General features: G+C 41.6%; 1 pseudogene across 1 annotated transcript; it reads right to left on the reverse strand.

The window, feature by feature from the left end:
• Nucleotides 1–1,721: 1,721 nt before the first annotated feature.
• Nucleotides 1,722–23,230, reverse strand: AGAP12P (ArfGAP with GTPase domain, ankyrin repeat and PH domain 12, pseudogene; annotated as a pseudogene). Its single transcript, NR_029396.2, has 8 exons — nt 22,966–23,230; nt 22,528–22,596; nt 20,162–20,230; nt 17,487–17,521; nt 9,858–9,958; nt 7,237–7,272; nt 3,866–3,917; nt 1,722–3,235 (listed from the first exon to the last, which is right to left on the reverse strand). The product of NR_029396.2 is annotated as an ArfGAP with GTPase domain, ankyrin repeat and PH domain 12, pseudogene (transcript).
• Nucleotides 23,231–24,967: the final 1,737 nt, after the last annotated feature.

A 24,967-nucleotide genomic window follows, 5' to 3' on the forward strand; every position in this document is an offset into this window, starting at 1 on the left:
TGATGACTAGAGGCTGCCGGCTCTGCTCTTTCAAAGGCACAATGAGCGTAGCCCGTCTACAAAACTCTCCCTTTTCCAATCCAGCTTTCCCTCCTGCATCACCTATCTCTCTACATCTGGAACCATCGGCAGCTGCCTTCATAAGGCACCTCAGTCTGGCATTCGGAAAACCACCGTCTTGCCAGAGCCTCTTGGTCTTGGGTAGCAAAAGCTGTATGCAATCTAAATCAAGCTTTCAATCATGAGAAATCACATTCCTTCTTTTCCCTTTGTAATATACTCATGTGTTTTTTTTTTTCCTTTCTCAATAAGCAAATTGTACCACCATCTTATTCTGAGATGCTCCTTTTTAAAAGCTGTAGATCACATTAATGGAAGTGGTTACTGCTGGGAATATTTTCCATGTGCAATGATCTGTAACCCTCTTTTTCTTTTTTTTGAGACCGAGTCTTGCTCTGTTGCCCAGGCCAGAGTGCAGTGGCACAATCTCTGCTCACTGCAAGCTTTGCCTCCTGAGTTCATGCCATTATCCTGCCTCAGCCTCCCAAGTAGCTGGGACTACAGGTGCCCGCCACCACGCCCAGCTAATTTTTTTTTTTGAGATGGAGTCTCGCTTGGTCGCCCAGGCTGGAGTGCAGTGGTGCAATCTCAGCTCATTGCAAGCTCCGCCTCCTGGGTTCACGCCATTCTCCTGCCTCAGCCTCCCGAGTAGCTGGGACTACAGGTGCCCGCCACCACACCTGGCTAATTTTTTTTTTTTTTGTATTTTTAGCAGAGATGGGGTTTCACCATGTTAGCCAGGATGGTCTTGATCTCCTGACCTCATGATCCGCCTGCCTCGGCCTCCCAAAGTGCTGGGATTACAGGTGTGAGCCACCACGCCCGGCCATTCCCAGCTAATTTTTTGTATTTTTTAGTAGAGATGGGGTTTCATGATGTTAGCCAGGATGGTCTCAATCTCCTGACCTGGTGATCAGTCCGCCTAGGCCTCCCAAAGTGCTAGGATTACAGGTGTGAGCCACTGCGCCCAGCCTAACTGTAACCCTCTTATCTCAACTAGCTGACGTTATTACTTCACATCCAGTTCAATTTATAAATTAAGAGAGGTGCCATGGGCCTGGTACGGTGGCTCACGCCCGTAATCCCAACACTTTGGGAGGCCGAGGCAGGTGGATCACGAGGTCAGGAGTTCGAGACCATCCTGGCTAACATGGTGAAACCACGTCTCTACTAAAAATACAAAAAATTAGCCAGGTGTGGTGGCAGGCACCTGTAGTCCCAGCTACCTGAGAGGCTGAGGCAGGAGAATGGTGTGAATCCGGGAGGCAGAGCTTGCAGTGAGCAGATATCATGCCACTGCACTCCAGCTGGGGCAACAGAGCAAAACATCGTCCAAAAAAAAAAATAAAAATAAAAATGAAAAAGAGGTGCCATGTGTACAAAAATCAATGCACATTTATGAAATTTTTTTTCAAATATATTTTCACACATTTTATCTAAATACATAATACAGAAGCCTGTGTGACTTGGGCAATGTGGCCAGGAGGGCCTGAGACTAACACATCCACCTTGGCAAAAGGACATAAAATATGTCTTATAGTCAGAAAAATCAACATTTTGTGTATTTACTTAGTTTACGAAAAGTACTGAAAATGCTATTACTAGCTGAATTTGTGATTTCCTTTTGAAATTCTGAGTTATCCTTATTTTTCCCATTTTGTTTTTGCACCAAGGAGACTGCAGTCAAATAAAACAGATACTACACGCACTCGTCGGGGCAGCCGTACTGCAGAAGCACGTTGATGCACTCCTGGCTGGAGGCCTGCCGGGCGTAGGTCAGCGCTGTGTTCCCGTGGGCATCTCGGGCCATGACGTCCACCCCGTACCAGATCAGGAGCTGCTCCAGGACCACATTCCCCTTGCGGCAGGCCAGATGGAGTGCCGTGCAGCCGTCTCCCTCCCCACAGGTCTCGTTCACCTCCTCACGGGAGCCATGTGCCAGCAGCAGGATGGCTGTCTGCAGGTCCTCATCAGCGGTGGCCCGCAGCAGCTGCTGGCCCAGAGACAGCTCAGTGCAGGGTAGTGGGGCCAGAAAGAGCTTCTCCTCATATTTGGAACGGATCCACCGTTCCTTCTCTTCCCTCGTGGACTTTATTGAGGGTTTTGTCTGCCCCTGGCTGCTCCCTTCCCAGATGCTGTTGGCTAGCTCATTGCCAATAGACGACATAACCTTCCTGAGCTCAACTGGCCAGTCATCCAGCTCCAGAGATCGCACACGGGAAAGGCGGGTGCCAAGACTGCGGTGGATACCTGAGCATTCAATACACATGAGGACTCCCAAGTTCAAACTGGCCCACTTAGGATTCTGGGTCTCACAGTCCACACAGTGGGCGTTCCCACGCATGTTTTGGATCGACCGCAGGGCCATGGCCTCACTCTGGCTGGTCAGCTGGGACTTGCTTTTACTGCTCTCGCATGACTGCAGGCTGGCCAGGATCTGGCTCTGGATGGCTTGGACCCAGGCATCCCGCTCCTCATACGTCGTGGCTTCAAAGTGCCACGTTTGGCCAGTGGCAGACACAATCATAAAGTTGTTGGTGCTTTTCTTCTTTAGGTGTTTCTTTTTATTGGCATGAGGAGAGGGGGGTGGGTTGAGCTTGGGGCTGGTGGTGCTGGAGATACTGGGGCTGAAGCATATGGAGTCACCCAGCCCGGTGTCCATGTCCTTGGATAGGCCATTGCTTTTAGAGCTGGAGATGGGTGCACGGGCTGATGTGGCTAGGGATGGCCACTTTCCTGGGACTTTGATGGTAGATGTCCGAAGGTCAATCTCTTTTTTATGAATATTCTTCATATAATCACCTAAGCTTGAATAATAGGTGAGCACGCCATTGGAACACAGGGTGACGTATTTCTTTTTCCATGTCTTCAGCCATTTCCCACTTCGCTTTAAGAGCATGCCCTGTTTAATGGGGATGGCTCTGCCGCTCCCGATGGTGTCAGCATGATTCTCCGGGGCTTTCCTCTCTTTGTCTGGGTCACTCCCTTTCTCAGATGTAAACAGGTTGGACCAGCGCATGGACCGCTTGCAAATGGGGGTGGGTGTGTTGGCAGTGGGAGGAACACTGAACTGAGGGTCCTCCTGGCTGGTGCTGGGAGTCGGTGGAATGGAGGAGGAATAGTTATTTAAACTCCCACCTCCATTTCTTTTCTTCATAATGTGCACGGTGGAAACCTGTGTGGAACAGGAGGAGGAATGGCTTCAAAAATTGGGTAGTGGCTTGCAGGATCCTATAGACAGCTCACAATTACCTTTTAAAAAGATACATTTTCTGGGCCAGGCATGGTGGCTCACACCTGTAATCACAGCACTTTGGGAGGCCAAGGTGGGTGGATCACGAGGTCAGGAGTTCAAGACCATCCTGGCCAACATGGTGAAACCCTGTCTTTACAAAAAAAAAAAAGAAAAAAAAATTAGCTGGGCATGGTGGCACATGCCTGTAATTCCAGTTACTCGGGAGGCTGAGGCAGGAGAATTGCTTGAACAGGGACCTGGGAGGCAGAGCCTGCAGTGAGCCAAGATCGCGCGATTGCACTCCAGCCTGGGCTACAGAAAGAGAGTCCATCAAAAAAAAAAAAAAAAGATACATTTTCTGTTGTTTGGATAGTATATTTACTCATACTAGCTCACTAACTAAACAGAGCTGCAGATCAGTTCTTACTCCAGCACATTCTTTTTACAACACTTAAGATGACTAAATGCAACATGAAATGGGGAAGATTTAAAAAAAGATGGCTTTGACTTCAGCATGAAACAGATACAAGTGTACGATGAAAATACAACCTCAATAAAAGTGCCACTTACCGCAAATGAGTGTAACTGTTCATCAGGTATGCTCAAAGATCTATCTGCATCTCTATAAAATAAGAAAGTGCATTACTTCAAAAACTGTTAATATCTTAGTATAATATTTGTTGAGTAAAATACTTCCTCCTGTGTGCTTTGGTGTTTACTTTACCAAAGCAGTTTTTACGAATTCTTCTCCTGGATCCTGACTTGCAGAGGGTTTCCTGACTTCTTCTTTCTCAGCACATCATGGTCTGTACCGTGAAGCCTTTTATATGATAACCAGTCAGAAATGCCCATGAGTATTGACTCTCCCTAACAGGCCATGGCAATAAACCAAACATATTTTCACTCTTCTAACCACACATTGAAACACAAGAATGTTCTACAAAGCAGTAGTAGTAAACTTTAATAAATGTAAATGTGATTCAGATTTCCTAGCTTCCTTTCTCTTTAGTTCTCTGTAGTATACTCTCATGATGTTTTTATGTATTTTCTGTTGTCTGAATGACAAACTCATCTACCTTTTTAAGAGGCCAGTCTTTGAGGAACTTTAAACTTTGTAAAACTAATGCATTGTGCCTGTGTATAAACCAGTGGTTCTCCAAATGTGCTCTGTGGACCTCTCGGGATCCCGAAGACCTCTTCCAGAAGGCCTAAGAGCTCATAACTGTTCTTTTTTTTTTTTTTTTTTTTTTTTTTTTTTTTTTTTTTTTGAGACCAAGTTTTACTCTTGTTGCCCAGGCTGGAGTGCAATGGTGCGATCTCTGCTCATGGCAACCTTCGCCTCCCAGGTTCAAGTGATTCTCCTACCCCAGCCTCCCAAGTAGCAGGGATTACAGGCACCTGCCACCACTCCTGGCTAAGTTTTGTATTTTTAGTAGAGATGTGGTTTCACCATGTTGGCCAGGCTGGTCTTGAACTCCTAACCTCAGGCGATCCACTTGCCTCGGCCTCCCAAAGTGCTGGGATTACAGGCCTGAGCCACTGTGCCTGGCCAACACTGTTCTGAATCATACTAATTAAACCTGAGAAAGCTGATGAAAAATTTTAAAAATTTGTGAAAGTAATACAAAGTCATTGCCTGCTTTTTCGTTGACACTTGCCATGATTGTATAAAAGCAAAAGTAGGTACAATGGCTGGTTTCTCAGCATAAATCAAGGCAGTGGTACCAATTACATTAGTAGTCATTCTATTCTTCACTGTCCCCTACAGGTAAAAAACATAGCCTGAATTTCTTAAGAACGTCTTTGATGAAGCAATAAAAATTAATGTTGTTAAATCTTGACATGTCTCTAATATTCTGAATAAGTGGAAAGTTAATGAGAAGTGCTTTTTTTTTTTGTTTTTAAAGAATCCGTGATTTAACTGTGAACTGAAAAATCACTTTTTTCACAGAACATCATTTTTATTTAAAAGTACAACTGGGCCAGCGCAGTGGCTCACGCCTGTAAAATCCCAGCACTTTGAGAGGCCAAAGCAGGCAGATGGCCTGAGCTCCTTCAGGAGTTCGGGACCAGCCTAGGCAACATAACGAAACCGTGTCTCTATCAAACATATAAGAAAATTAGCCTGGCGTGGTGCCACACATCTGTGGTCCCAGCTACACAGGAGCCTGAGGTGAGAGGATTGCTTGAGCTGAGATCATGCCAATGCACTCCAGCCAAGTGACAGAGTGAAACTCGGTCTAAAAAACCAGTTCAACTATCATTCTCAAAAATAAATGAAGTGAGAGGTTGTCACTTCAAGGGAAATACATATTTGTTCCCAATGATAAAATTTAAGCTTTCCTGTGGACTTTGAAAAACTTGTTCCTTCTACTGTAGGCTTGGCAGCTTTTCAATACTTAAAGGCGTGTTAAAGTAAGATTGGTGGTTAAACTAAAAGTGATTTTTGACACAATAAAACATAAACCAATATATTCCAAGTAACTAATGCATGATATTATAAATGCAAGTATGGAGCAAAAGATCCATTTACTGTGCAAGAAAGATCAATGAGTACTGATGGAATAAATTTATTAATATGTAAAATGCCACCGTAACTAATTTAAGAAACCACCACTTGTGAAGTTTTGATTTAGTGTTTTAACAAATACCCACAACTGTCTGAAAACTTTAAAAATACACCTTCTACCAACTACATATTTGCATGAGGTTAGGTCATCTTATTGCTTCTTTTTCTCTTTTTTTGAGACAGAGTCTCTCTCTGTCACCCAGGCTGGGGTGCAATGGCGAGATCTCGGCTCACTGCAACCTCCACCTCCCAGGCTCAAGCGATTCTCCTGCCTCAGCCTCCCAAGTAACTGGGACTACAGGCATGCACCACCACGCCCAGCCATTTTTTGTACTTTCAGTAGAGGCGGGTTTTACCATGTTGGTCGGGCTGGTCTCAAACTCCTGACCTCAAGTGATCCACCCACCTCGGCCTCCCAAAATGCTGGGATTACAGGTGTGAACCACTGCGCCCCACCAGCTTGCTTTTTTTGTTTGTTTGTTTAGACAGAGTCTTGCTCTGTCACCCAGGCTGCAGTGCAATGGCACCATCTCAGCTCTCTGCAACCTCCGCCTCCCAAGTTCAAGCAGTTCTCCTGCCTCAGCCTCCAGAATACGTGGGACTACAGGTGCGTGCCACCATGCCCAGCTAAGTTTTTGTATTTTTAGTAGAGACGGGGTTTCGCCGTGTTAGCCAGGATGGTCTCGATCTCCTGACCTTGTGATCCGCCCGCCTCAGCCTCCCAAAGTGCTGGGATTACAGGCGTGAGCCACTGTGCCCAGCCTCATATTGCTTCTTTGAAGCAAATTGCAAAGAAAGCTCTAGAGAATCCATTTGTCTCCTATTAAGCTCAACATGAGAGACTTTAAATAATATAAACAAATGACACACTTTTTACTCAACTTTTTGTTGTAGAAAAGTTTTTTTTCAATGAAAAACTTCTGTTAACAATACTGTTCTCAAGGAATATTTTCTGTTTTTATAACCTGGGTCATGGGTTACTACTGACATCTAGTTGGTAGAGGCCATGAATACTGCTAAACTCTCTGCAATGCACAAGACAGTCCTCACAACAAAGCATTATCTAGCCCATAATATCAACAGTGGTAAGGCTGTGAAATCTAAACTAAAAATAGATTTTGAAAAAATTTCAATTGTATAATTCTACCACACTAAATATCAATATAATCAATATAAACATATACTCTTTGAGATTCTCAATCATTTAAGAATTATGAGAGTCTTAAGGAACAAAGAAAATACAAATAATTTGCTTCGATATTTTAGTAGGCACAATACAGCTTATGATGTCTAGAGCTGTGACCTAACACTGAGCTTGATATCTTGCAAAGTAATTAGCTAGAATAACAAGACAGGTTTCTAAAAAGCTCACCTTTGTGTGATATGATGAGGTATCTCCAAGGTCACACTGTGGAAGGAAAAAAAATTCATAACAATAGATGTTATCATTTGTTAGGCCTGAAGACATTTTTTAAAAGGGGGGCAGAGGAAACTCTCCTAGCGGCCCTGAAATTCAAATCTTCTAGTTCAGAACAGTACCATAAGGGCACTTTGTTTTCATTTCTTTGTTTTTTACAAAAATATGAGAACCAAAATGCAAGGAAATATGCCGTTAGAAGACGCGTTTCTGTTGGTGATTACAATATATAAATAATAACAGATTTCCCTTTTATATGCTTTTCTACCGATGAAACCTTTCGTCCCATGCGATTTATTTTATGTATTTATTTATTTTTTGACCCAGAGTCTGTCTCTCTTGCTCAGACTGGACTGCAGTGGTGCCATCTTGACTCCTCACAACCTCCACCACCCAGGTTCAAGCGATTCTCACGCCTCAGCCTCCCAAGAAGCTGGGACTACAAGTTTGCGCCACTATGCCCAGATAATTTTTTTTTTTGGGGGGGTGGTGGGTGGAGTTTCGCTCTTGTTGCCCAGGCTGGAGTGCAATGGTGTGATCTCGGCTCACCACAACCTCTGCCTCCCGGGTTCAAGAGATTCTCCTGCCTCAGCCTCCCAAGTGGCTGGGATTACAGGCATGTACCACCACACCCAGCTAATTTTGTAGAGTGAGGCTCAAAACAACTGAGGGAAGGTAAATCTCAATTCTACTAATAGGTCTACACAATATTAGCACTTTTTAAAAAGCCTGTAACATTAGCATGTGAGATGGATATGTCTATAGTGCTTCAAGTAGTTTTCATCTCTGAAATAATTTTAAAATCACAGAATTTAAAGTTACATGCTGGAAAGGACCAATGACCTTATGTGACATTTAATTCAACACTTGTTTTACAGATCAGGGAAACAAACCTTAAAACTGACTTGCCCAAGGTCCCACCAAATAGGAGCAGTTTCTCGTCCTAAACTCAAATTAAGCAGTGGCTCTCAAACTTTGCTGCACATTAAAATCACCTGAGAAGCTTTAATATCTGCCTCATCTTCCACATGAGACATTTTAATTTAATTAGTATTGGGTATGGCTTTGGGCATCAAGGTTCTTGGTAAACGTTTCCCAGGTGATTTCAATCAGCAGCAAAGTTTGGAATGATTGAGCTGGGGTGAAAATCAGAATCTTCTGGGATGCTTTTCTTCACAGAAAGATGCCTCACATCCATCCCGATTTTCCTAAAAGGCTTCTCAGTGCCTAGAGATAGAGGGAAAGTGGAGATGGGAAGATACATGTATTTGCAGACTTGCATTTTGAAAAAAACCTTGCATAAGTGATCTCAGCGAGTTCCACCTATCCCACTGACAACAGTGCACTACTGATTCATGATAAAACATTTTTCAAAATATCTTCTTGAAGCCAATTTGCCCTATTAATTTGTTCAATAACTTTATTTCACCAATAGTGAATACACCAAATGATCATTTCTCAAACTTGCTGGTGGCAAATTAAAACTTACTATACTCTCAAAAGTAGACTTCTAAAAAGTAGAATAATGAGGAAAAAAGCACGAAATTTGTTTCAGCAAAATTAATCTTCAAAGCTGCTTTTGAATTATATGCTAACTTATCAAAATCTTTGGAACTCAGAAGAAGCCAGGGACTCTAGTCAAAGTAATTTTTGTGTATGTGTGCTCAAAGATTTAAGAGACTTGGCTGACTACAGACATTTAGTGATTACTCAATAGGTCCCAAAGCTCAGGACTTGAGACAGAGTTTGAGTTCAGTTTTTGTTTGAAACACAATTTCCTCTCAACTATTGTTAAAAGGGAGGGAGGAAAGTGACATTATTATGAGTGTAAACTTGCCACTTTTAATTGAAGTAAAAGTTATTGACAATTGAATTAGCTAAAAAGGCTAGTGCATTTGAAACAAAATTGTTTATAAGCTAGTTATGTTTACAGAATGAAAAGTTAAATTAAAGATAAAGACATTAATATTCTAAATTAGCACTTTCCAAACTGTGTTCTAAAAATCAAGACTAATAACCCAAGGAGATGAGAATAATGTACACTGGACGGCCCCTGTGGAGCTGGTGGTGGTGTTGGTTGTTGTTCCTTTTAAAATAAACTTCATCTCAGGGTGCTCTCAAAGCGCATCGTGGTCCACGAGGTGCTCATGCACAATGGGAGAAATTCAAATGCAGATACACTGTGGTGCCAGAAGAAGAAAAGCTGTTCCTTCTTCCAAGGATAATGTCCAAAGTAGTGCACACTGATTTGGGCCTATGATGCATTGAAAAACTAAGTTTCCACAAAAAACATTCAATAAAGGGAACCTATCCTTCTCACTGTGTTCAACATTGTCTAAAGGCATAAAGGCATCAAAAAGACACACTGTTTCTGGGTTTGCTTCTTTGCTAACTGATTTTTCCTTCCACCACGACGTCTAAGATTAAAAGAGAAACTGATACTTAATATTGAGAATCTGGATATCAATATATGGTTGACTCCAATTTCTTAAGCTGATTGCTGAAGAGGACAACCAAATGGCTGAAATAATTTCCGAATAAAGGAATCTGTCCCTCGGCAGCATAGTTGTACTCACGATATTATTGTCATTGTAAGATAATGCTGGATGGCTGTGCTGTCATCAAGGAATATTGTCGAACACGAGCTGTATTGTTGACTGAAACGCTCAGTAGATACCTGAAGGGGAAGGGAAGTGTAAGTCAAACTTATCAAAGTGTATTTTTTTCTCAGTTAAAATGTCAAATGACAAAGCACTAAGATATGTCTTACACTCCATGAACTGCCTGAGTGTGGTATCATGTGCACTCTATAGAAAACACATTGGAGGCTCTCAACTTCCAGAGATGATGTTTAAGATATGGGTTATAAAATGCTGCCCTTAATATGGTACCTGTCATCAAACCTAACAAGGATTTTATGAATTACCGTTAAAAATAATGGGAAAAGTCGGCTTCGCCGGGCGCGGTGGCTCACACCTGTAATCCTAGCACTTTGGGAGGTGGAGGCGGGCAGATCACGAGGTCAAGAGATCGAGACCATCCTGGCTAACATGGTGAAACCCCGTCTCTACTAAAAATACAAAAAATTAGCCGGGCGTGGTAGCAGGCCCCTGTAGTCCCAGCTACTCGAGAGGCTGAAACAGGAGAATGGGGTGAACCCAGGAGGCAGAGCTTGCAGTGAGCCGAGTTCGCGCCACTGCACTCCAGGCCGGGAGACAAAGTGAGACTCCGTCTCAAAAAAAAAAAAAAAAAAGAAAGAAAAGTTTAAAATGAGATTTCATATTTTTTTCTACAGCAATAAAAAGCAGCCAAGAATTTCTATTAATTAATTAATTAATTTATTTATTTATTTATTTATTTTTGAGACGGAGTCTCGCTCTGTAGCCCAGGCTGGAGTGCAGTGGTGCGATCTCGGCTCACTGCAAGCTCCGCCTCCCGGGTTCACGCCATTCTCCTGACTCAGCCTCCTGAGTAGCTGGGACTACAGGTGCCCGCCACCATGCCCGGCTAACTTTTTGTATTTTTAGTAGAGACGGGGTTTCACCGTGTTAGCCAGGATGGTCTCGATCTCCTCACCTCGCGATCTGCCTGCCTCAGCCTCCCAAAGTACTGGGATTACAGGCGTGAGCCACGGCGCCCAGCCCTTCTATTATTTATTTACTACGATAAAATGTAGTGTATTAAATAATCCTGCTACAAGAGCATTTTATTGCAGTGAATACAAGATTAATGCATTTACTAAATTACTAATCCTAAATGTATTATTTCAGGTGATATTGTTACAAAAGAAGTGTTTCAGATTCAGGGGCTCTGTGTGCCAGGGCTGCTAGGCCACCAACAAGTGAGGAAGCCATAGGTTTCTCTAGTCCTATTTTCTTATGTGGAGGATAAAAAGAGTATCACTTAAATATTCTCTCACACCCTAAAAACAAATGACAACTTAAAAAATCTAACTTTCACTTCATGTTTAAATAAGACTGCCAAGACATGACTCAAATGAGACTCTTGGAGAATACTTTGCATTCACTTCAAAACTTGATCAATTGCATTCTATAAATCATCTGACCTGCACCTAGCCATTTTCCTGCTCTACCCCTGCTCTCTGCCTAGAATACTGCTTTTCTCTTTCCTTGCTTCAGCAAGCTCGACTCCATCTACCCTCTTGGATCTCTTTGTCGGCAGCCACACCAAAAAATGTATTTTTATACACTAATTAGTTGAATTCACCACTGCTTACAAGATGCTAATTGCTGCAGAGTATTCCCCTCATGAGAAAGTATGCCTCTCCATAAGAGTAAGGGAGGGCCCTTACTCTTCCTACCTCCAGCTGCTGAGCATAGAATTTTGAGTAAATCCAAAACTTCGACAAGTGTTTGACAATTCAGTCATCATTTGGAAGGTAAGTCTTACTACATTTAATTACAGCAAAAACACTACTAACAGTTTACTCTTTATAGGTATTATTTAAGGTAGTCACAAAATAGAAACAAATAATCTAACGTCAGTCAGCATAAATGAGAGTATGAAATTTTACAATATTTAACAAGAAATGGAAGGGGTTACTTAGTAGTTTTAAGGTTTAATGACAAAAACTAGAAAATAATCGTACCTAGTAATTTAGTAAGTCAAAACCAAAGCCTTACCATCAAAGGTGCAGTACCCATTGGATGCGGATGCCCACGCACTGACTTCTGCTGTACCTGCTGCCTCTCATTTTAACCCATTAAAAATACTAAAGTTGTTTTCCTTGTAGACATCTTTCACCTCCTTGGTTAGGTCTATTCCGAAGTATTTTATTTTATTTTAGTTTATTTTTGCAGCTATCAGAAAAGGGGTTGAGTTCTTGGTTTGATTCTAAGCTTGGTCGCTTCTGGGGTATAACAGAGCTACTGATTTGTGTACATTAATTTTGTCTCCTGAAACTTTGCTGAATTCATTTATCGGTTCTAGGAGCTTTTTGGAGGAGTCTTTAGGGTTTCCTAGGTATATGATCATATCATCATCAAACAGCAACAGTTTGACTTCCTCTTTACTGATCTGCATGCCTTTTATTGTTTTCTCTTGTGTGATTGCTCTGGCTAGGCCTTCCAGTAGTATGTTGAATACAAGTGGTGAGAGTGGGCATCCTTGTCTTGTTCCAGTTCTCGGGGGGAATGCTTTCAACTTTTCCCCCTTTCAGTATTATGTTGGTTGTGGGTTTGTCATAGATGGCTTTTATTACATTGAGCTATGACCCTTGTATGCTGATTTTGCTGAGGGTTTTAATCATAAAAGGATGCTGCATTTTGTCAAATGCTTTTTCTGCATCTGTTAAGATGATCATGTGATTTTTTGTTTTTAATTCTGTTTATGTGGTGTATCACATTTATTGACTTGTGTATGTTAATCCATCCCCGCATCCCTGGTATGAAACCCATTTGATCATGGTGGATTATCTTTTTTTTATTTTTTGAGATGGAGTCTCGCTCTGTTGCCCAGGCTGGAGTATGCAATGCGGTGATCTTGGCTCACTGCAACCTCTGCCTCCGAGGTTCAAGCGATTCTCCTGCCTCAGCCACTCGAGTAGATGGGATAACAGGTGAGCGCCACCACGCCCGGCTAACTTTTGTATTTTTAGTAGAGATGGGGTTTCACCATGTTGGCCAGGCTGGTCTCGAACTCCTGACCTCATGATCCGTCCGCCTCAGCCTCCCAAAGTGCTGGGATTACAGGTGTGAGCCACCGTGCCTGGCCCGATTATCTTTTTGATATGCCGTTGGGAACTACAAAACATTGCTGAATGAAGTCATGGACACAGACAAATGGAAAGACACCCCATGCTCATGAATGGGTAGAATGAATATTGTGAAAATGACCATACTGCCAAAAGCAATCTACAAATTCAATGCAACTCCCATCAAAATACCACCATCCTTCTTCACAGAACTAGAAAAAACAATCCTGAAATTTATATGGACCAAACAAGAACCGGCACAGCCAAAACAAAACTAAGCAAAAACAACAAATCTGGAGGCATGACATTACCTGATTTCAAACTATACTATAAGGCCATAGTCGCCAAAATAGCACGGTACTGATATAAAAATAGGCACATACACCAATGGAACAGAATAGAGAACCCAGAAATAAACTCAAATACCTATAGCCAACTGATTTTCAACAAAGCCACCTAAAACATAAAGTGAAGAAAGTAAACCCTATTCAACAAATGGTGCTGGGATAATTGGCAAGCCACATGCGGGAGAATGAAACTGGATCCTCAACTCTCACCTTACACAAAAATCAACTCAAGATGGATCAAGGACATAAATCTATGACCTGAAACCATAAAAGTTCTAGAAGATAACATTGGAAAAACCCGTCTAGACACTGGCTTGGGCAAAGACTTCATGACCAAGAACACAAAAGCAAATGCAACAGAAACAAATAGGTGAGACTTAACTAAAGAGCTTCTGCACAGGAAAAGGAACAATCAGCAGAGTATACAGACAACCACAGAGTGGGAGGAAATCTTCGCAGTCTATACATCTGACAAAGGGCTATTATCCAGAATCTATGAGGAACTCAAACAAATTACAATTACAAAAATATGGAACCAGCCCAAATGCCCATCAGTCAATGAGCGGATAAAGAAACTGTGATATACATACATATTATATATATATATATATGAGGAATACCACCTCAGCCATAATAAGGAATAAATTCATGGCATTCCCAGCAACCTGGATGGAAGCAAGACTATTATTCTAAGTGAAATAACTCAGCATGGAAAACCAAATATCATGTTCTCTTTCCTACGTGGGAGCTAAGCTATGAGGATGCAAAGCCATAAGAATGATACAATGGACTTTGGGGACTTGGGGGAAAGGCTGGGAGGAGGGTGAGGGATAAAAGACTACAAATTGGGTTCAGCGGATACTGCTCAGGTGATGGGTGCACCTAAATCTCACAAATCATCACTAAAGAACTTAGTCATGTCACCAAATGCCACCTGTTCCCCCAGAAACCTATGGAAATAATAAATAAATAAATAAAGTACAGCATTTTTCTCAGCAAACATAAAATAAAACAAAGACTAAAGTTCATATTTTTCACTCTCCTTTTGGGCAGGACAAATTTTAGATAGGTTTTTAAAGAATTAGTAACTTTTTTCCTTTTTCCGAGACAGGGTCTCCCTTTGTTGCCCAGGCTGGAGTGCAGTGGTGCAATTATAGTTAACTGCAGCCTCAAACTCCTGAGCTCAGGTGATCCTCTGCCTCAGCCTCCTGAGTAGGTAATATGAAAGGCGCATGCCACGAGGCCTGGCTAATTTGTTATTTAACCTTTTTGTAGACATGAGGTCTTGCTATGTTGACCAGGCTAAAAATGAACAAATCTTAATTAACTTAAATATTTCTAACACCTTGGGCATTCAGGAAAACAGCTCCATTTATGTTGTGAAGTAATGGGAAGCATATGGCAGTGGATAAACTTTGAATGAAAATATTAAACAAGGCCTTAGGAGAAAAGTGTAATATGCTTATTATAGATACATTAATTTAAAAAATTCTCTGGCTTAATATCATTATACTCAAATTAGACTTTGATTTAAACATAGGTCCTAAATTTGGATTAAATATAATAGATTGACCACAAATTTATTTCGTCTCCCTCTGGAAGCCTCATTAGTCATAAAATAAAGGTTACACCCATGACCAGCACAGAAGGTTGACAGAGATAATTTTTAGTAAATGCTGAGACATAAAAAGTAGACAAAGGAGTGGTAAATAACACAGAAACACAACTTTGCTGACTACAGAAAGTGACTGGAACAGAAGCGAGCCAGTTTGTCTTGCAGAACTAAAGGCAGGTTGTGAACTTACAGGCAAATGGCACTTTGGAAAGTAGGGTAAAATGTAAAAAAAAAAAGCCAGCAAGGTCAGTTGCAAATCTCTAACTAGAGCCCAAAGTCTACCTGTCCTTCCATCTGACAAGAAACTTAGATGTGTGTTCTCTGGATATATCAAACCTGAGAATTTCTGGCTCAGAGATACTATGGCTTAAACCTGAGATATAAAGAAAACTGTACACCAAAAATGGAACTCCAACTTTCTTTGCTAACTCTGCTTTTCCTTTCCAGGCAGAAAATTGGGAGATCCTTCTCAGAAGAAACTGAAATGTCTTCAGTAAAGATCCCCAGATAATACACTGAGGTCTCCCAAATGAAAAGCTAGTCAGGCTTCTAAGGCCTCACACTGAGTGCTATCAGTTAACAGAAATCCTGCTTCCAAATAAAGCAGGCCAGGGACCACCACACATTGGAGGGAAGCCTCCAAGAAAAGAGATCAAAACAATAGAAAAAAGGAATTGATAGGACCAGTCAAAATCAGGAGCAAAACTTTAAAAAAAAATCTTAAAACACTCTCAAAAAATATAAAATTCAATAGAAATAGTAGAGGATAAAGTCACAGAATATCCCAGAACTAGAATAAAAAGACAAACTGAAAAAAATAGAAGGGGAAAAATTAAAAATCAATGCAGGTGTACTGGTCTAAGCAGCCTAGCATCTGAAGAACAAGACTATCAGTAAAAAAGTAACAGAGAAAATAAAAAAAAAATTCTCAAGAAGAGATAGTCTGCAGGTTTAGTAGCCTCAATAAAATGAAAAGATCCCCAACAAGCTGTTATAAAATTTCAGAACCTTAGAGAGAGAGATTCTAAAAAGCTTCCGCAGATAACTAAAACCTGGTTGTAAATAACATATCACACACTGGCAATAGATTCAAGAACAACACTGTAATAAGAGCACAACTGCAAAATGTCTTCAGAACCATACAATTTAGATTCAACCTAGAGGTGTACTCTCTATCAAAGAGGAGGGATTTTAACATCTCCACCCAGGAAAATGTGTTCAAGTACAACTAGAGACGATAACAGGACAGAAGGAAACACAGAATCTAGGACTCAGGCGATCCCACACAAGACAGCAGTTACGTGAGATCCCAAAAGACTTTAAGGAGTTAGCCCAGAAAAGCAGACATCGAGCATATCTAGGGAAACCCACGCTATATTGAACTAGGATGACAAAAGGCCAAAGAAAGTTGCCCCCCACACACACATAAAAAGGAACAGATGTGTTTTTGCAGATGGAAAATATCTTTGAAAGGCATGTGATAAATGCTACAATACTTGGGGGAAAAACAGCTGTTAGAAAATAGGCAAATGAATATAGTCAGAAAATTAGCTTCATGCTAAAAAATAATGGATGTGAAAGCAAACAGAGCACCCAGAGGCTACTTAATGATATTTGGATAGATAAACTAACATAGGCTAGGAAAAAAGAAGATCCAGGAGAATTGCAGAAGTGCTCAGATTTCAGAACTGTTTCAGAGACAGGATGAAGGACATGGAATGCAGAGGCACAGTGAAAACACCATATGACTTAGCAGTGAATAATATTTGCAGAGTCATAATCATGTAAATATTACTGATTTAATTAAAAAGTGTGCTACAATTGGAAGAAACACAGGGAGAAACATAAGATCATGGTGTAGCGAGGAAGATACGCTTTTACCCGCTGTGATAGAAAGTCAATAGACAGTGCTGGCAATTAACTTAACTATTCTATTTTTGTTCTTTCATTAAAAATAAGATTAAATATTTAAGGCACTTTTTTTTTTTTTTTTTTTTTGAGACAGAGTTTCGCTCTGTCGCCCAGGCTGGAGTGCAATGGCACGATCTTGGCTCACTGCAACCTCCGCCTCCTGGGTTCAAGTGATTCTTCTGCCTCAGCCTCCTGACTAGCTGAGATTACAGGCATGCACCAGCACGCCCGGCTACTTTTGTATTTTTAGTAGATACAGAATTTCACCATGTTGGTCAGGGCTGTCTCAAACTCCTGACCTCAGATGATCAGCCTGCCTTGGCCTCCTAAAGTGCTGTGATTACAGACGTTAGCCACCATGCCCAGCCTTAAGGCAGATCTTTTGAACCAGACTATTGAAATTTAACTTAAATGTCAGAAATCTTTAAAAGGTGGACACGCTAAGCTAAACACTTTTCTGGATAAATTTAATACTCAGGAAAATAGAAGAGATTTAGAAAATCCACAAAAAGAGGTCCATGCTACCACCACCAGGTCCACATTGTAATTTAAAGAAATCAAGAGAGACATCCTTTTATGTCAAACTATCAATTTCTTAACTATTTGAGTGTTTACTTACATGGTTTGTACAGTTGCTTCTTCTTATTTCTACAACTAAGAATAAAAAAAAAAAAAAACTGGTCACTTCTGATACAAATACCATAAAATAAAAGTAGTTGTTAACATCTTACTGATTACTCCTATGTAAAATGAGACAAAATTCCATTTAAAAAAATAATTTTCAATAATTTATAATTTAAATTATCTGGCATGATTAATTTCATAAGTCAAATCTAAAAACTTAGTTTTTCATTTAGTTTACTTTTTGTTTCTATTACATACAAATGAAAGAATCCTCATGTACAAAAGAAAAGGGTAAAAAAATTAGGCCAGATGAAAAATTTAGCTAATAAAAAGTTTAACTGTTGCATATATGAGCCATGATCCATTAGTATTCTCTCATTCTGCATTTACACATAGCTTACTTTAATTATCAGACTCTAAGAGCTAACAGCTCTAAGAACTACGTCCTGACCAGACACCTATCTCTAGATGCAACAGAATCCCTGTAAGCATCTTGAACCACACTTAGTGGTTATCTACTAATATGTCACTAAAAACAAATCAAAATTAAAAAACGGTCTTTACACAACTGGAAAGTAACGTATCTTAATTTTTTTTTTTTTGAGATGGAGTCTCACTCTGTCACCTAGGCTCGAGTGCAGTGGTGGGATCTCAGCTCACTGCAACCTCTGCCTCCCAGGTTCAACCAATTCTTCAGCCTTAGCCTCCTGACTAGCTGGGACTACAGGCACGTGCCACCATGCCTAGCTAATTTTTTTTTGTATTTTTAGTAGAGACAGAGTTACACTGTGTTAGCCAGGATGGTCTTGATCTCCTAACCTCGTGATCCACCCACCTCAGCCTCCCAAAGAGCTGGGATTACAGGTGTAAGCCACAGAGCCTGGCCTAAATTTTGATGTTAAAATGAGTATACAAACCTAATTGGACATGGTGTCTGCAGCTCAAAAAATCATTTTTTTTCCTCTAAAAAGAGGCCAGAATAATAAAAGCCCCAAGAGGGACTTGGGCCATGCTTTGTTTCCTACACTGCCTCTGCCTTTGATGCTGGAAGGGCCTTGTAGGCAAAAGTTCCTACCACCGAAGAGTGAGGGACATGGAATAGCTTTTCTTTTACTGCTTCCATGCTCTCTAGGTGTGAGAAGCCCATGGCTCTGGAAGGAACTGGGAAATACAATTCTGATATGTTTTGGATATGTTGCCCCTCCAAGTCTCATGTTAACATGTGACCCTTAATGTTGGAGACAGGGCCTAGTGGGAGGCGTTTGGGTAATGGCAGTGGATTCCTTATGAATGGCTTGGTCCCATCCCCATGGTAATAAGCAAATTCTCATTATGGTAATTTAAAAGACTGTGGTACTGGCCAGGTGCGGTGGCTGAAGCCTGTAATCCCAGCACTTTGGGAGGCTGAAGCGGGTAGATCACTTGAGGTCAGGAGTTTCAGACCAGCCTGGCTAACATGGTGAAACCCTGTCTCTACCAAAAATACAGAAATTAGCCAGGTGTTATGGTGCCCACCTATAGTCCCAACTACTCGGGAGGCTGAGGCAGGAGAATTGCTTGAACCTGGGAGATGGAGGTTGTAGTGAGCCAAGATCGTGCCATTGCACTCCAGCCTGGGCAACAGAGTGAGACTCCATTTCAAAAAAAAAAAAAAAAAGAGTGTGGTACCTTCCCCCTTCCCCTCTCTCTTTCACCGTGTGGAACCACCTGCTTCCCCTTTGCCTTTTATCATGATTGTAAGTTTGCTGAGGCCCTCACCAGAAGCAGATGTTAAAGCCATGTTTGTACAGCCTGAAAATCTTTGAGCCAATTAAACCTCTTTTTTGTTATAAATTACCCAGCCTTAGGTATCTCTTTATAGTAATGTAAAAAATGAAGACAAATTCTAACCAGAAATAACTGACTCAAGATGGGCAAAGTCTACTCAAACTATAAAAACAAAGGTTACAAACTCCCGTGTTTTACTGTGCTGCATTACTTCGCACACTATTATAGAACCCTCACTTGTATTCTTGCTGTTTAAGTCAACTGGAAAACTTGGCTGTGTATGGCTTGTTGGCAAATAAATGAGGATTTAACATAACATTAGGGAAATAAGCAGGAGTAGGGCATGTTTAAATTTACATGACATCAAATGAAAAAGTTAATAACCTAAAACTTTTGAGTAGCATGAACTTGGATGTGGTAAATGAATGTGGTCAGAGGACTGTGTAAGAGGAGGCCCAAATCACAGATTCAATCCCTGATGATAAACAACTATGTTTTTTAATTTGTTTAAATGAAAACCAAGCTGAAGCCTAAGTTCTATCATTCATCTTTAAAGTGTACTTTTTGGAGCAAGGGAAAAGGGATTATAAATAAAGATAAATCCATTAATTATAAATAAAGATAAATCCAAGAATTATAAAGAGAAATCCATGACTCCTCCAACACATGACAAATTAATTGTGTTGATAAAAAGATGGCAAAATGTATAAACAAAAAGGTTACACGTTTTCACTAACATCATAACAACTAAAGGAAAGTATATCACATATTAAAATAAGACAAGTGAACATGTGAAAAGGTGAAAAATTTAAACCAATATGAGTTTTTCTAAATACTTTCTATAACCTGATCAAACAAGAGCTTTTATTCTTTCTCTTGGCGGAAAAAACAATGTTGTCTCACCATCTGTTTGAGAGTTCCTCTGGAATATTGTGCTTGCCTCTGGATTGGCAGAAGGGTTAAACTCCAAAGCTATATGCATAGAGGAAGAAAAGAAAAAGAGATGCAATCATTGATAAAAATTTATCAACTCGTTTATTCGGCTGCTGCATTTAGGCTATTTCACTATCTCTACTTTGATTCTTATCCATTGAAATGAATGTATAGACATAAGATAGAGCCAGGCAAGATGGCACATGCTTGTAGTCCCAGCTACTCAGGAGGCTGAGATGGGAAAATCACTTGAACCCAGGTCAGGAAGTTGAGGCCAGCATGAGTAACACAATGACACCCTCCTTTATTTAAAAAAAAAAAAAAAAAAAAAAAAAAAGAGGTAAATTTTGGCTTTGAGTTGTGTAAAATCAACTTTGCATAAAATAAATCAAGATGGCAGTAAGTTTTAAAAGACAGTCTATTTTATAGGCAAAATATAAGATGTATTCTAGAGTTTTTAAAATTTTTAAAAAGTAAATTCATCATATCTGTCACTTCCATTTCATTCTGAGGACACAGAACCTTAGTTCTCTTGAGTAGCTGTCTTCCATAGTCATGTGATATCTCTAAGTTTTCATTTCTTCATTAGCAATACATAGGGAGAACATACACAGGCCTTATTTGTATTGGAAAGGGCCAAGTGAGACATACATAAACTGTGTTGTAATCCTAAAGAATGACAATAAAGAGCCATTTTTGGGCTCTCATCCAACACTACCCATCTACTAACTGGTGTGTAACATCCATCAGGCTTTCCGAACTTCACCAAGCAGAGTATAAGTTTATACAAGTACTTACATGCTTTGTGTATAAAGGTACAATCAATTAATTCACATAATGCATTTGTTTATTCTAAAGCAATCCTTAAATATCTTGAAATGTGAAGATAGTACTTCCAAGTTACAAAGTCACACTCATAATGAGTCTTAATTATCCTACCTCTTTAAAAATTAAGAGCCCAACCAAAGTTTAAATAGAAGAGCTATAAGACATTTCCTCTACAGTAATGAAATCTCTGGCATTTAAATGAAACCAATAAGCCAACTGGATTTAATATGTTTATGATGCAATGTTTTCTATTTTGAAAATTTCAGTTTTTATTCAAGAACCATATTATTACCCAGAATTACTTTTACTTAGATTCATCTCTTTGCAAAATTTTAGAGGCAAACCAACTAATTGTTTTCTGTTTTCTACCGGCTCCCATCCCCTGCCTCTGCCAACAGTGTAGAGACTAAAAAACTCCAACTCTTTCCTTTTTTTTTTTGTGAGACGGAGTCTCGCTCTGTCACCCAGCCTGGAGTGCATTGGCGTGATCTCTGCTCACTGCAACCTCCACCTCCCAGGTCCAAGCAATTCTCCCGCCTCAGCCTTGTGAGTAGCTGGAACTACAGTCATGCGCCACTACGCCCAGCTAATTTTTGTATTTTCTTTTTTAGTAGAGACAGCGTTTCACCATGTTGGCCAGGCTGGTCTCGACTCCTGACCTCAGGTGATCCGCCTGCCACAGCCTCCCAAAGTGCTGGGATTACAGGCGTGAGCCACCAAGCCCAGCCAAAACTGTAACTTTCTTATCTTTGAACAAGATGCTATTGTCAGGAGGGGAAGGGACAAAGGGGGAGCCACGGCAACAAACACTCTTACAGGGAAGGTCTGACATTTTAACCTGCAATCTTTATATTACACATTAAAAGTCTACATTGACGTTTCATGTCTTTTGAAAGTTTTGACCGTGAACCAATCCCCACCTCTCTTTTAGAACAAGGAGGTAAATAAAGTCTGTTAAGTCACCAGAATAAATCTGGAGACACATTTTCTGTTAAAGTAAGAATTTTAAAGTAATCAGAGCCTCATAGGTAAACTCCTTTGAGAAACCCCAAACACACACACACAACCATTTTTCTGCAGCCCTGGCTGTGACATTTTATACCTTTCACAATTATTTTAAGCACTCTCCTTTTTTCTCTTTCCTTCTGTGTTCAAATTACAGTTAGAAGAAACTAAGCAGCTTCTATCAAGGTGACTTAAAGCAGCCCATTAAGAATACCATATAGCCTCTCCCGTGGCAACCTCCATTCTGATTTTAAATAAGAAATCCCCAAATATTTGAATAGGAACTGTCCTGAGATTTGGCTACTTTAACAAAGGAAACAATTAGGCACTTACCTGGTTCCTTCACTTAGGTACCATCTGGATAGGTTCAAAGAAAAATTAAGATGGGTACTGAAAAGTTGGGATATTTGAGTTTTTATTGAGAAAAGGAAGAGAATAGCTCAAAGAAGCCTAAACAAAGTCCCACAGGATAATAAACAGAGCTACAGACACTGTTGTCTCACCATCTGTTTGAGAGTTCCTCTGGAATATTGTGCTTGCCTCTGGATTGGCAGAAAGGTTAAACTCCAAAGCTATATGTATAGAGGGAGAAAAGAAAAAGGACGTAATCATTTATAAAAATTTATCAACTCATTTATTCAACTGCTGCTTATTCGACAAGAGCCATAAATAAATGGTCCCATGCCAGCCTGGGAGAATGAGATGAGAGAGCAAGAACTGGGCGATTGGGAGGGGAGGTGAAAAGAAACTGACTGGACTCGGTGGGGAAAGACTAAGGGGTGGGAATTCAAGGCAGAGCCAGCTTTTGTTCCTGGCCAGCCCCCGGGAAAGCTGGCTACAAGCAGAAAGGAGCTCGAAGTGTAGGATGCCTCAAAGGGAACCTTGGGGACAGCAGCAGCCAGAGGCAAACCGAGGGTAGATGGCACCTATCACCTCCTTACCTTCAGGCATCTCCCGGTCACGAACCTGGTGCATGTGGAGGTCCTCACCAACTTCAACAGTCACCTCAGCAGGCTGTACAGCAGCAGCCATGGGCGCTCCTGCCATCCTGTCCTCAGCTACTGCCTCATAGATCTCAGATTCAGAGGGACACACCGACCCCTGCTGCTGGGTCAAACTCGAGGCTGACGCTAGGGTGCACACGACAGGTCAGTATGTTCCCCATGGGGCGCCTCTACTGCCTGCCACCACCTGTGCCTCTGCTCACAGCTTTGGCCACGCACTCCCGCTGTCCTAGGCCGAGGCTATGCTGCACTTGCAGAGATGGTCTTCCCGCTCCTCGCCTGCCCACCTCACAGTGCGGCCCCGGGCACCAGCCCTGGTCCCGGCCCCGGCCCCGGCCCCGGCTAGGGCTGTGGGCCAAGGCCCGCACCCTGCTGCCTCCCCTGAGTTGACTTGTCTGGGAGGGTGAAGACCAGCCGGCTTATTTAATAGGTTGTGAACCCAACAAGCGCTGAGAGACACAACAACTGCCTGAAGAGAGAACAGACGGAGCTCCTCCTCCTTCTGTAGTCACCTACAGACTGAAGCCCACTGGCCCCAGGTGGGAGCCCAGGCATGTGGCACACAATGCCCCACCCCACACTTCACAATGCCCTCCCCGACACCTCACAGTGCCCCACCCTGCCTGCCACCCCTCCCCAACAGCTCAGAATGCCCCTGCCTTGGCTGCCCCACCCTGTGGCTTATGATGCTGCTGCTCTCCTGGCCCCTCGTGCAGTGCCAGTGGGACTAAGGTTTTCATTCATCACCAGCTTCCTGAGATTTTAGTCCTAAGAAAAGCACAGGGTAGTTCATTCCTCGAAGCCAGCTTCCTCTATGAGTTCTACATAAAGCCTCAGTAGAGTGGGTCCCATTAGCAACCAAGTTGAACAACTTTTATTTGCTGTCTGAATATAGATACACCTGAATTGTTGACTGCTTTTGTAACTAAACACTCCTCTCCTGTCTTCCAACGAGTGGTCATTTTTGTCCGCAACTTGATCACAGCAATCCCTGGGGCCCTAGCTCTACTCTCAATAAAGAGTTATGGCTGTGTGTTTTGAATGACACCTTAGGACCCATCCTGCCTCCACCTCCTTCTCCATAAAATAGAAACCTAACTTGTCCCTCCAAGCTCTGAAATGCTGAAACTTACCAACTCCCTTTTCTCCCCGCTATTTCTTCCTTCCATGGCAGGGACTTTCAGATTTTCTTTCTTTTACTAACAAGGCACTAAACATGATTTTCTCATACAAAATCGAGAGCCATAAAGTGGCTTACCACAGTCCTATTTCAATAAAGATGAATACTCGACATCTGGCAAGTAGTGTGTGCCTGACAGTGTCCCCACTGTGCTATGCTCATTTAACCCTCAGAAACAATCTCATGTTACAGATTTTACAGAAGTTGTTGGGACAGAGAAGGTAAGTAAACCCCCCCAAGGTCACATGACTGCTAAGGGTGGGGCCATAGTTTGATCCCAGGTAGTCTGAATTCCCCAATTGCTTAAGCATGATTATCAGAAAGTATAGCAGTCTGTTTTCACACTGATATAAAGAAACACCTGAGGTTGGGTAATTTTTAAAGGAAAGAGGCTTAATTGACTCAGTTTCACATGGCTGGGGAGGCCTCAGGAAACTTACAATCATGGCAGAGGGGGAAGTCCTTCAGGAAACTTACAATCATGGCAGAAGGGCAGGTCCGACTTACATGGTGGCCGCACAGAGAGTGGGAACATGTGAAGGAGCAACTGTCAAACATGTATAAAACCATCAGATCTCAGCTGGGCACGGTGGCTCACACTTGTAACCCTAGTACTTTGGGAGGCCAAGGCAGGTGGATCAACTGAGGTCAGGAGTTTGAGACCAGCCTAGCTAATGTAGTGAAATCCTGTCTCTACTAAAAATACAAAAATTAGCTGGGTGTGGTGGTGCATGCCTGTAATCCCAGCTACTCAGGAGG

Source organism: Homo sapiens, chromosome 10, assembly GCF_000001405.40.
Source record: "Homo sapiens chromosome 10, GRCh38.p14 Primary Assembly".
Classification (NCBI taxonomy): domain Eukaryota; kingdom Metazoa; phylum Chordata; class Mammalia; order Primates; family Hominidae; genus Homo; species Homo sapiens.